The sequence below is a fragment of the Homo sapiens genome, chromosome 3, assembly GCF_000001405.40.
Source record: "Homo sapiens chromosome 3, GRCh38.p14 Primary Assembly".
Lineage (NCBI taxonomy): Eukaryota > Metazoa > Chordata > Mammalia > Primates > Hominidae > Homo > Homo sapiens.
The window spans coordinates 42,974,624-42,987,881 of record NC_000003.12 but is presented as its reverse complement, the minus strand read 5'-3'; the positions used below and the strand labels follow the sequence as shown (position 1 = coordinate 42,987,881).

Here is a 13,258-nt window from a genome sequence, read left to right as displayed (position 1 = left end):
GACTACAGGCACCCACCACCATGCCCAGCTAATTTTTGTATTTTCAGTAGAGATGGGGTTTCACCATGTTGGCCAGGCTGGTCTCAAACTCCTGACCTCAGGTGATCTGTCCACCTCAGCCTTCCAAAGTGCTGGGATTACAGGTGTGAGCCACCACACCCAGCCTCTCTCTATCCTACTCTTGTGATTATCAAGGCAATATGTACAAAATCAATTCAAAGGATTAAAGGGGAAGTATCCAACATTTCACCTTCACATTGCTCTTAAGAATATAACATAATAAGTGATTTTATAGAATTAAAATGATTAGTATCATTGTTAAGTTACTTCTATATATGATCATTTTGTGGGATATGATGAGGTTTCTCTTCATATAATCTGATCAATCTTTTATTCTTTAATTCATAGTACCCCCTCCCCCCACTTTTTTCTCCTTTTTTTCCTTTTTGCCTTTGTTAGGTGCCCAGGCACGCCACAGTACCAGGCTTTATCAGTACCAGCTCACGTTCCTTTCCTTATTTGGAAAGAGGACTAACTTTCTAGCTCATTACAGACACCCCTTCCCCTTCCTCTCCACTTTGTGTGCCCACCCTATCTAAAAAAAATCAAAATGTTTAGCCAACCAGGATTAGTTTAGATTGTATGACCCGACCCCGGCCAATGAGGAAAGGGTACAGGGGCAGGACTTGCATCAGGAATAAAGGCTCTCGTGCCCCTTTGTTCAGGTGTGCTCTCATGGCAACTGGCCAAGGAGGCACCCCTCTGCGCAGAAGTAAAATTGCTTTGTTAAGAATCCTTTGTTTGAGTGTTCAATTTCCTTAGGATTTTGAGCATTATTCCTAACAATTTCTAAGTGTGACTAGAAAAGAAACACCAAAAGCTAAATTTAAATGAAAATGAAGAGAAAGGAGGAAGGCCGACAGAGACCCATACATCCGGATGCCTGAACAAGAACCTGGAGTCACTCCTGACCTGTTCTCAGCCTCCACATCTGAGATTACCAAGGGCTGGAGGTTCTCCTGCCCAAACATCTCCCTACCTGCTCCTCTGGCCTGCTACAGAATCCATACCTCTATCCTGGCCCCCAGGATCACAATCCTTCTTCTCAGCCTCCAAAACCGCTCTCTAAAATGCAAACACAATCCCATCTCTCCAAGCTCAAAAGCCCTTCCATTGCCCCCTCTGCCCTAGGGACAATAACACAAACCCCTAGCTGGTGGGGCGAGCACCCACATCCAAGAGCCAGGCCCTGGCCCCAGCCCCATCTCCAGGAGGTTCCCCTGTGGTCCCAGCCCAGCTCCTTCCCAGCCAAATTTTAACAGCTCATTTTTGCCTCCAGGGGTTTTGCATGTGCTATTCCTTCTGCTAGAATGCCTTTCCCTCTTCTTTTTGTTATATATATATTTTAATTTACATACAGTAAACCTGAAACTTTTCTGTATCATTCTATGAGTTTTAACACATGTATTAGATTTGCATGTCCACCACCACAGTCAGGACACAACAGTTCCATCACTCCAGAATTCTCCTTTGTGCTGCCCCTTTGTAATCACAGCCTCTCTACCCCTAACCCCTGCAACCGCTGATCTGTTTTCCATCCCTATAGTTTTGCCTTTTCTAGAATGTCATTTAAAAGGAATACCACAGTATGTAACCCAGTAGGATTGGTTTCTCCCAGTCAGCATAATGCCTTTGACATCCCTCCACGTTGTTGCATGGATCTATGGTTCTTTTCTATTGCTGAGGAGTAGTCCACCGTATGGACATACCACAGTTTATCCAGTTACACTTGAGCAACATTTGGGTTGTTTCCAGTTTGGGGCAATTATACGTAAAGCTGTTATAAACATTTGCATCAGGTTTTTTTGTAGACATATGTTTTCATTCCTCCTGCATAAACACACAGGAATGGGATTGCTGGGATATATGGTAAGTGTATGTTTAACTTTTAAAAAACTAACAAACTGCTTTCTACTGTGTTTCCCACTTTCATGTATGAGAGTTCCTGTTGCTGGCATCCTGACCAATACTTGAGGTTGTCAGGGTGTTTTGCTTCACTTTTTAACTATTCTAACAGATGTACAGTGGCTTCTCCTTTCTTCCCTTGACAGAATCCAGATCCTCCTCAGATACTCCCTGTCCTGGAGGCTCCCTCTGCCCCACTCACTCCTCAGGTTGGGTCTATCCTTTCTCTATATCTTCAGCAGAATATTTGGCCCACAGGGCTGAAGCATTTCCTTGTGCTTCCCTCTCCCCTGAACCTACCACCTACCACCTGCTCCCCTGCCTCCGCCCACACACACACACACACACACACACACACACACACACACACGTATGCACAGGCAGCCTCAATAAACTGTGTACTCCTCAGAAGCAGGGTATGTATTTTTGATTTTTCTATTTTCTGCCCTACACAATGTCTGGCTTAAAGCAGACATTTTATAAATGAATGGATGAATGAATGAATGACAAGACGGCAGGGAGACAGAGGGAGCATTAACACACATTTACACATTGAATGTGAATCCTCCATTTGTGGCCTTCTTGATATGCCACTCAGGAATTCCAAAGTCACTTGGGAGTAAGACTCAGTCCCTGCCCATGGAGACACCCGTTCCTTCAGAACTTGTGAAGGCCTAGAAATCAGAGTGAGGCCCCTATAACCGAGTACCCCCATTTTTCTAAGACAAAGAGAATAAGTTATTTTTTTAATTATTTTTTCTTCTATCTTCCTCCTTTTCCCTCAATCCTTGCTTCCTACTTAGCTCTTTAGAAATGCAGTTAGAAGCTCTACCTTCCCTTCACCAAACACTCCCTATATGAAAAGCTTATCTAACTATGTGCTTACTTAGAAGCTCCAGAGCCTGAGCTACCTTCCACCAGGAGCTTGCCTCGAGAGATAACAGTCAATTTACAACCTAAAGTATGCCCACTCCAAAACTCTTTCCCACCTGGAGAGTATCTCAAGACAACGATGACCTTACAACCTAGCTCTGCCTGTGATGGTGCTAGCTCAACTCCCTGGTAGATAAGGCACCAAAGCAAGTCACGGAGACCCCCACCTGCTTGCTCACTCCCCTGCATGCCATTCATGCCAAGTATTCATTTAAAGGACCCTGCTTTCTGCTCTAAAGCAAAGCGGTACCCTTAAAGGCAGGAGCCTGTACCTCTTCCCCTAAGCTAAGCTTTAGAATAAAGTCACTTTCTTTATACTAGACCTTGCTCTTGTTAATTGGACTCTACAAGTGGTGAGTGACTGAATCTGCATTTCAGTTATACTCCTGCTGTTTCCTCACCCTTCACATCAGCCCTCATCCTGCTTTCCTTCCACTCTTAGCCTCCTTGACCCCAGGATTCACCAGATGCTATTATAAAGCACCTTCCATCTTCCACTCAGCTGGCAGTTCTGGAGCCACAGGCTGGACTCTGGGGAATAGGACCAGATCCCAGGCCACTCCCAAGAGTATGTGTGCATGCGTGAGTGTGTGTGTGCGTGCACATGTGTGTGTATGAGTATATGTGTGATGTGTGAAAGTCAGCGTGTGTGTGTGTGAGAGAGAGAGAAAGAGAGAGAGAGAGAGATAGGAAGTGAAATCCACATAAAGAAGGGCGGCCTGGGATTTTCCCACAATCATGGCTCCCTCTCATCCTCAATCTCAGGCCAAGTGGTCCTTCACACACAGGCCTGTGCAGACACATCCAGAAAATGAGGGATCACGCCCTAAACTCCCTAGGCAGAAACACTTTAGCAGTCACATCACAAGATGATCCAAGCAAAGACAGCCCCAGGTGACTCACAGCAACCATGCCTCAAAGAAAACTGATGCACTCTGTGTCTCTACTAGTACCTTAGGTGGGGAGCAGACATTGGGCCTCCCAGACCTATTGGAAGGATGTCGGCATCTTTGAGGCCAAGCTGAAGCATGTTTCTCTCACTAGTCCCTGAAACAACTAAGGAACTCATTTCTTTGTGAGGCCTGTTCCCACCACCCCCGACATCCCTGTTTTTTGGATCAACCTCTGTTTGGTATGGTTGGGGCCAGTAGATTCTTTAAAACACTCTGCTCCCTGCCCAGCCCTGCACAAAGCCTGGGTCAGGTATGCAGCAGGAGCTGCAAGTAAGGGCTGTACCCCAGAAGAGAGAGGGGATCAAATTTCCCACAGGCTCCATGGGCTGCATTTCAAGGTTCCAATACCAGTTTAACCTCTTCTTTAGCTAAGCCTGATGACTTCTGCGACTCATTCAGTGCAGAGGGACTCAATGAGGGGACCCCAGCAGTAGATTCCAAGGACCTGCGGCTGTTTGGGGAGCTACATTCTCATCCAGTCAGCAGCATTCTGCAAGGGAGACAGACTGGACGAACATCTGCAGGCTGGGTTTTCCTGCCTGATGAGAAGAGAGACTTAAAGAAGCAAGAAAACTACTTGAGGGTAAATTTCATCTATACTAGATCCTTACTTAGAGAAGAGTCCCAGAAGCATCCCCTTGACTGGTATTGAATGAAAGGCACCTGTGACTTCCTTACCATTTTAGACCCTAACAAAAAGCAAACCTATTTTTGTGGGTCGTTTGTAAAGCCCCCAATCTTACAGCACCTTTGAGACACCAAGTATTTTCACCTCCATGACTCCATTTGCTCCTCACAATGACTCATTTTACAGATAAGGGGCTAAGGTTCAGAGCAAGGCAGCGCTTACCCAGAGCCACACGGTGACCTAGCCCAGCACAAACCCCATTCTGACTGCAAACCCCAGGCCTTTCCTCTGCCACTCCAAGCCACACCACATCCCTCAATTCTATGATGGGGCTGTAGTGACTGTGACAGGACCTACATGGAGAGTGGAGGGGAAGAACTAGGAGACCCGGGCCCTAGCCTGGCTCTAAGTGACCCTAAAGAGGCCACATCCCTTTTCCAGCTTCAGCTACTTGTCCTCTGAGTCTTAACCTCCAGGGATTTTAGCTCTTGGTTCTCCCAAGGAGGACTGGCCCATGTGGGCTCCCCTGGGACTCCATTGCCCCCACTGCTGCCTGCCTGATGACCTGCCCACAGCACAGAGTGAAGACAGGCAAGAGGAAACTCCTCCCACAGCACGCTGGGCCCTGGGAGGGTAGTTACAGTAAGAGCTTGGATAGAGAAAGAGGCCGGAGCAATTCATTCTTGTGAATTTTTCTGATTTCCACTTAGCTGGGCACTCAGGTCCTCATTTCCATGGATAATGAGAAGCTGGCCACATGCCACTGAAATCAGCCCCAATCCTGAAGTGACCTAAATGTCCAAAAATGGGGAGATGATTATCAAAATCACGGTACTGAGCATTAAATGTATGGTTATAAAAGATTTTTCTAGAGATGTAGACATGGAAACGTGCTTTGATATAAACTGAAGTAAAACAAATCAGACTGCAAAATTCCATGTGTGGTGAAATCTCAGCTCTTTAAAATAATACTCAAAGAGAATAGGAAATATGCCAAAATGATAATCATGGTTCCTGTAGAAGTTGTGTATTTTTTCTCAAAAATCAGGAGGAAAACATTTTTTAATTGGCAGTAATAGTTTCAACTTTCTCTATCAATATTTTTCTTTTTTAATTTTTAACCCAACACATATATATCTGATTCTATCAATATTTTTCATCAAGTACAGAGTCCTTGGCAAACACCAAACCTCCCACCACCACTGCAAAGAAAGAAACTGACAAGTGTTCCAATCTTCGCTTTAGAAAAATACACACCAAGCCATGGCAATGACCCCTGACTCCTCAGGATAATCAAAAATGCCCCCGCAGATACTGCAGCTCAATGCTCTTTTCTTTTTTCTTTTTTTCAAAAGGACATTTAAGGATTCTATACTTTTATTTGTATACTTCTAACCCAGAGTTTCCCATCATACGTATCTTGGATCAATAATAGGATGGCATTAGGGAAATACTGAATAAAGGATACCGTATTCAAACAAGCTGGGCAAGTTCAAATCTCAGTGTAATGAATTAAAAGACAATACTCTGTGGAAGGACCCTCAAAGAGATATAGCATGTGATATATGTGATATCATATAATGGGAAATGATATAGCATCTATCATTTCCCAAAAACTATTTTAGGACTATCTCAAGGAATGACCACTCTGTGGACATAGGGATATCTTGGGAAGTGCAGCTTTGAGCCCCAGCTTTCTCCCGTTCTCTCAGCCTTCTTGCCCTGTGGTTCTCAGCCCTGGCAGCACACTGGGCTCACTTGCAGAGCCTGAAAACATCCCTTGGTCTGGGTCTCATCTGGATTTGGGCTGGGGGATGGGGGCAGCCTGAGTCAGGGCTGAGAACCACTTCTTCCCCACACCTTTTTAGTTGTTCATGCTAAGCACAGCTCAACACTAGAATTGAGATCCAATCTCAAAATTATTCACATATCACCCATTTTTGGAGCTAAATGGCACCTTGAATAACATCTAGTCCAATCTCTCATCTAACAGAAGAGGAAACTAAGGTCCTCAAAGGATTCCTAGCCCCCTGTCTCCTCCCATGCTGCTTCTAGCCAGTGCCAGGCTGCCCTGTGGTCTCTGGACCTCAAGACCCTTCATTCAGATGGAGAAGCAAAGGACAGCCTTCAGATCTCCAAGGCCATTTCACTGCCAGAGGATGACCATCAGGCCCCTCTCTCTGCAAGTGAACCCTGAGACAGTGAAATGTTGACACAAGTCCTCTTCCTAACACAATACCAGAACCCAGAGCCAGGGACGTGAAACCGGGAAGCTGCAATGACTCACAGAACGGGAAGCTTACGCTGGCAGTGGGGCAAACACACCAATGTTCCCCTAGGCAGCCTGAGCAGAAGGCAGGTACCATCTCTCCTCCAGGCACTCTGCTTCAGCCGCAGACCACAGAGCCTCTGCTACATTTGCCTTTAAAGCCAGGAGACTCCAGCATGCTAATGCCCCTCGGAGTGGATGGCTGTGGCCTGAGTTCTGGTAACACTCTTGCTCCTAAACAGGGAATTTGTAATAGGATATCTCCACACTTTTCGTTTCACATCCTGTACCCCCAATCATTCCCCCTTTTGAAGCTTAAGATTCCACTATTTCCTTCTCTTAGCAGCTTTGAGAAAAAACCTGAAGCTGGATAGGTGTTAGGAGGGGTGAAACATACACACACCCCTAGCCTCAAAGGTACCCTTCCCTGAGCCCCCAGCTCCTTATGACCAGCCCTCCACCTCTGTTCCAGCCACCTGCCAGGCCCCCCTGCACACAAAGGAGCTGTTCTCACAGAGACCCTCCATCCTACAGCGCAGTCTCTAGACAGCCTTCTAAACCCCAGGCCCAGCAAAACTCCCCACAAAGCATCTCCAGTGGGTTCCGATCTGCCTTCTGTGAGCTTGGAAGGAAAGGGAAGAGGCGAGCAGGCACGGAAGCAGCCAGGGGAGCCCAGTGAACTGCAGGAGCCCAGTTGGGGTTGCAGGGGTTTTCTGCTGCGGGAGAAGCAGAGCAACTAACCAGCGGCCGGGCCTGAGGGACGCCCCTTTCCTGGGGTTGCATGTGTCCTTTAGCTAAGCCGCCTGGGCCACATTCTCGATGGGTTTTTCTTTTCTGCCTGTTAGTGTCTGTGAAGTTGATCAATGGAAGGGCCACGTCCACAAGATCCTGGTTTCATCGTGACATCCCAGACCCACCAGTGCTTCCACATCTGCCCAACAGTCCTCCTGTCGGGGAGGTAGAGGAAGGCGGATTGGAACCTTACTAGAGCCAATTTAACTCAATGTTAATTTAGTTATTAAATGTTAATAAACGTTAGGACATTATTTTTAATATCAATACATAGCTAAATTAGAGAAGATAGTATAAAATTCACATGAACTTTGGAGAGTATTAAAATGACTTCAAAAGCATCTCATCAGAGGCTGCCGTGGGTTCCCCAGGGAACGCTCCCCTCTCCCTGCCTTGTGGATTGCATGAAGATTGCAGAGTTGCGAGTGGGTTACGGTTAGGTCAAGGAGTGCAGATTAGTAATAAAAGCCCCCTTATTACGGTCCGCCCCACTAAGAGCGGCAGGAAAGCCGATCGCCCCCAGCTCTGGTGCAGAAATGAAAGCCGCCGCCGCCCCATGCAACTTTCGGGGAACAACTCCGGCCTCGGGAGGCCGCGCAGGCTGCGCGCGCCCTGGGCCGCTGCGCGTTGACTGCAGCCACCTGTCCTGGTGATCGCCCCACCCTCCGCTCGCGCGTTCCTTCCCGCGAGTCCTACCATGTCCCCGGCGGTGCCCCGGCCGGCTCCTCGGCGCGCTCAGCCGGCTCGCAGACTCATCCCGCCTCCCCTTGGCCGCCCCCGGCGCCGTGGCTCGCCAGGCTTCCCAGGATGCGCGGCTACTCGGCTGGGGCGGGTTTCCCGGACTGAAGGTGCACACGTTCTCTGCAGCCAAGTGGCCCTGCGCCAACTCTCGGGAGATCGCTGCACACCGGGATACTCCGCGGGTGGGGAATACACGCCGGATCTACTGAGATCTACGGGGATCTGAGGGAGCCTACCCGCGGCCGCGAGCCTCTGCGGTCTACTCGGGACTTTTGCAGAGTTTGCAAAGTCCCTGCCGCGCGTCCCGGCCCAGCTTCCCCATTCCCCTGAAAGCGCGGGAGGGGGAAGCTCCCTTCACAATAAAAGCCCTGCCGGGGGCTCGGCCAGCCGCAGTCTTCTGGTCTTCTGGAGTAGGGGCCCAGGTGCTAGGAAGGAAAGGTCTACGCCCTGACTGCCCGCCTGACGGGTGATGCACCAAGGCTGGACGGTGAGGGACGCCTCTAAGGTGTGAGGGTGCTTGGTGAGTTCGCTGCAACTCAGCAATATGGCTGAGTGTTGCCCAAACTGCCACCCTCTCCTGCCAAGCAGGACAAGTCTTTTTCTTTACTGTCGCTTGTCAGAAGGACAAGTCTTTTTTTACTGTCACTTCTTCGCCTTGTTTGGGTTCAGTCCCCAAGAGGATTTGGAAGGAAAATCCGTTGACCACTAAGCTAATTAACAATGAAGAGTTTTTGTCCTTGAGAACTAATCACTGTTAAAGTCACTGAAGTAAGTGGCTGATACCTCTCTGCTTTGGATGCACAGACAGTGCCTTTGTGTCCCCTGAGTCACCTACTGCCAACAAAGGCACAGTCAGAGCAAGACCTGAGAGTCTATCCGTTCCCCGTTGGGGAATGTCCTGGGCTTAGGGGTTCTGTAGTCCCAAAATCAGGGCTAGCCCCACTATTAACAGCTGGATGACCATCGACCAGTCCCCAGACGTCTTTATGACTTGTGTCCCCCAGTGGCCCAATGTTTGGACCCCAGGATTATTAAGAGCCTGTAGACAATGGATGGAGGCGAGGCAGAGTCAGCAGTAGGGTGCTCTGAGAGAATTTGGGGGCCAGGCTGAAAAATTAGCCTCCAGTACTGAAACTAACAGGAAGCATCATTAGCTAGATGAAGACAGGCATCTTCCCAGCAGTCTCCTGCCCCAGAATGATCTGAGGTTATCACTGATGGCAGTGCTTCTAAAGGGAAGCAAAGATCCAGAGAGTCCCCTTAAATTGTGTATGTGTGTATGGGCAGGAGGAACAGATGAAGGGAAAGTATTCGGTCCTTAACATTCCAGATGCTTTCTGTACATTATTTCATTTAATAACCACAAACGATCCTAAAAGGAAAACTTTTGCAAATTAGGAAAGTCAGGATTAGGGAGGTGAAGTAACTTTCCTGAGACCAGATCGCCAGTAAACAGTTTAGCAAATCCAAGTCTATTTGCCAGAACATGAAACAAAGAGGAAGACTTGATATGGCAGGAACAGGAGGCAGGATGTAGCACTGCAAACTGCAGCTTGTCTGTGCATATGGACTACTGAAAGGACAGAGAGTTTGAGCCCTGGTTGGGAAATGAGGGAAGAGGGTGGAGGACAGTACAAACCATTCAGGGTTTTATTTAGATGTTTAGGGAGACGCTGTGATCTTTTGAGTCTCATTTTCTGACTGTGACCCCACACAAGATATATATTAAACATATATGTATAAATGTAACTAAAAGATTGTTTTATAAAACATTACTTCATGTGATGCACTCTGACATTTTCTATTCTATTCCAATTTTATGTATTTTTAATGATGGTCTCAAATCACTAACTTAGACAGGAAGAGAGTGCCCAGTATTTCCAGGATTACTGGAAGCAGAACTGTTTTTCAAAAGAAGCAGCTCCAATGACTCATGGAACACACTTGGGAAAAGCTGCTGCAGGATCTAGCCCAGCCAAATAAAATGTCACACAAGAACATGGCTAAGCTGTAAAGAATTGTTTGTTGTTATAGCATATCCTGGTCCATCCTAATAACATGAATAAAATTACTTTTAAGAAGAATTACTTGAAAAGAGTCATAAATCAGATTTTTGTCATTTCTCTGCTCAAAACCTACCAGAGGCTTCAAATCTCCTGCAGTGTAACATGCCACATCTTACAGGGGCCTACAAGTCCTTTCACACTTTGGCCCTCATTGGTTCTCTAACATTATCTCTGCACACTCTCTCTCACTGTGCTCCAGGACACACTCACCTTCTTATTGTCCCTTGCATATTACAGGCAAGATCCCACCTCAGGACCTTTGCACTTGTTATCCCTCTCCCTAGAATGCCCCAGATATCCCCATGGTTTGCTCCCTCATCTCCTTCAGGTCTTTGCCCAAGTGTCACCTCTTTAGTGAAGCCTTCTCTGACCACTCTATTTAAGATTGCACACTCCATTCCTCTTCAGTTCCACCTTGTAATTCTTTTTTTTTTTTTTTTTTTTTTTTGAGACGGAGTCTCGCTCTGTCGCCCAGGCCGGACTGCGGACTGCAGTGGCGCAATCTCGGCTCACTGCAAGCTCCGCTTCCCGGGTTCACGCCATTCTCCTGCCTCAGCCTCCCGAGTAGCTGGGACTACAGGCGCCCGCCACCGCGCCCGGCTAATTTTTTGTATTTTTAGTAGAGACGGGGTTTCACCTTGTTAGCCAGGATGGTCTCGATCTCCTGACCTCATGATCCACCTGCCTCGGCCTCCCAAAGTGCTGGGATTACAGGCGTGAGCCACCGCGCCTGGCCGCAACTTCTTGGAAGCTATATTAAAGGGTTTTAAATTTAGATAACCAGTAAATCCCTCCCTTCTAGGAAACAACACTTCATGTTTTGTTACTTTCCAAATTTTTGTTGACTGGTGGTTGGCTGCTCCCAGGTTGTTGGCAGAGCCTCTGGTTACACTGCAGACCTTGCAAGTAGGAAATACTCAACTCACTCCACTGGGACAGGTTGGTGCTAGAGAGGAATATTTTATTATTTTCATGACAGGGTGCTCCAGGTTCATTAGGAGTGAGTCTATCTTTCACCAGTTAGCAGATTTCCAACTTGCTCTAAGGACGTTTTAGGGTTTCTTATAAACTGGTACCCCAGGCAGCGGCCCAACAGGCCCACTCTCTAATAAGATTCCATGTCTAGCTCCATTCCAGACTTACTGAATCAAAATTTCCAAGGCTTGAGTGTCTTTATATTTTTTAAGCATAGCCAGGGCTGAGAACTGCTGAACGACGCAATTCCTCTTCCTTGGCTCCCATATCCAAATGGCCTTTCTAAATGATTCTGGAATCTTTCTCCTCCTCACGGCCAGTTCTTTGGCTCAAACTTTTGTCATCACTTACAGTACTCTCAGAAACTCAACTAGCATCTCAGGCTCTACTTTTGCTCTTTCCAATCCATCCTGCACATTACTGCCAAAACGTAAACATGGGCCTGCCACTGACCTGTTCCACATAACTCTCAGGATTAAGTGCAAATTCCTCAGCAGCATAGCTTTCAGACTCCTTCAAGGTTTGACCTCCGATTACTTCTTCAAGCCTTTTACACACTCATAAACCTCCTTCAGGGCAGTTTCCTCCATCTCAAAGCCTTTTCTTGACACATTCCTATTTCCAACCTGACATACCTCCCTGCACCAGTCCTCCCCATCCTGAAGGTCCAGCACAGCATGTCCCCTGAAGTTTCTCTGTTGCAAATATTATCTCCTGTGACTCTCACTTCCTAGAAGAAAAGACGATTCTGGGCCTTCTGTCTCCATCTTCCTGGTACCAAGTAGCTACTTGATAAATGCTTCTGAATAAAGGAATGAGACAGAGAAGACTGAGGTTCAAAACTGAATCTACCACTCACAAAGCATGGGTCCTCAGCAAAGCCACTTCCTCTCCACTGGTTCAGGTTCCTCATCTGACAGATAAGAACCATCATCCCAGCCCAGCCTAACTCCCTGGATTCCTGCAACCATGTAATGTGCTCATATAAGTTACAACATCCAAGTCAGGACTTTTCTCATGGTAAACTTTCAAAAACATTTATTGAATCCAAGAATGACGAATGAGAAAAAAACTTCTTTTGCAGCAGAGAATGTTAGCATCCAGTTTACATTCTTTTTTTTCATTCACTTAACTCGTATATTTCAAGGGGAAGCAGTATACTTGGCCAAAAAATTATATATTTCACAACCTCCCTTGCAAAAACGAACAGCCAATAAGAAGCAAATGGAAGTCATTGGTGGGGCCCACAGAAGCATTTGAAGGGGGCTGAGGTAACTTACATTATTGTTCAGCAAATATTTACTCCCTATATTAGTCTGTTTTCATGCTGTTGATAAAGACATACCCAAGACTGGGCAATTTACCAAAGAAAGAGGTTTAATGGACCTAGAATTCCACATGGCCTCACAATCGTGGCAGAAGGCAAGGAAGAGCAAGTCACGTCTTACATGGATGGCAGCAGGCAAAGAGAGAGAGAGCTTGTGCAGGGAAACTCCGCCTTACAAAGCCATCAGATCTCATGAGACTTATTCACTATCATGAAAACAGCATGGGAAATATCTGTTCCCATGATTCAATTACCTCCCATAGGGTCCCTCCCACAACATGTGGGAATTCAAGATGAGATTTGGGTGGGGACACAGCCAAACCATATTATTCTGCCCTGGCCCCTCCCAAATGTCATGTCCTTACATTTCAAAACCAATCATGCCTTTTCAACAGTCCCCCCAAAGTGTTAACTCATTTCAGCATTAACTCAAAAGTCCACAGTCCAATGTCTCATCTGAGACAAAACAAGTCCCTTCTGCCTATGAGCCTGTAAAATCAAAAGCAAGTTAGTTATTTCCTAGATACAATGGGGGTACAGGAATTGGGTAAATACAGCCATTCCAAATGGGAGAAATTGGCCAAAACAAAGGGGCTACAGGCCCCATGT

At 46.9% G+C, this 13,258-nt stretch overlaps 1 protein-coding gene across 1 annotated transcript in view, besides 2 other annotated features; it reads right to left on the bottom strand.

Annotated features, from left to right (window-relative positions):
* Positions 1–8,571, bottom strand: part of GASK1A (golgi associated kinase 1A) — a 78,405-nt gene extending 69,834 nt beyond the window's left edge. The window contains exon 1 of the mRNA NM_001129908.3: positions 8,237–8,571. Within this exon, the coding sequence (NP_001123380.2) occupies positions 8,237–8,239 (3 nt within the window). The 5' untranslated portion in view covers positions 8,240–8,571. The remainder of the gene's footprint in view (positions 1–8,236) is intronic.
* Positions 3,047–3,547: an enhancer, noted in NCBI's record as "H3K27ac-H3K4me1 hESC enhancer chr3:43025827-43026327 (GRCh37/hg19 assembly coordinates)". NCBI's record gives its function as "activates a minimal SCP1, AML or CMV promoter by ChIP-STARR-seq in naive H9 embryonic stem cells {active_cell/tissue: H9 hESC(naive)}" and the evidence as "EXISTENCE:reporter gene assay evidence [ECO:0000049][PMID:30033119]".
* Positions 3,548–4,048: an enhancer, noted in NCBI's record as "H3K27ac-H3K4me1 hESC enhancer chr3:43025326-43025826 (GRCh37/hg19 assembly coordinates)". NCBI's record gives its function as "activates a minimal SCP1, AML or CMV promoter by ChIP-STARR-seq in naive H9 embryonic stem cells {active_cell/tissue: H9 hESC(naive)}" and the evidence as "EXISTENCE:reporter gene assay evidence [ECO:0000049][PMID:30033119]".
* Positions 8,572–13,258: the final 4,687 nt, after the last annotated feature.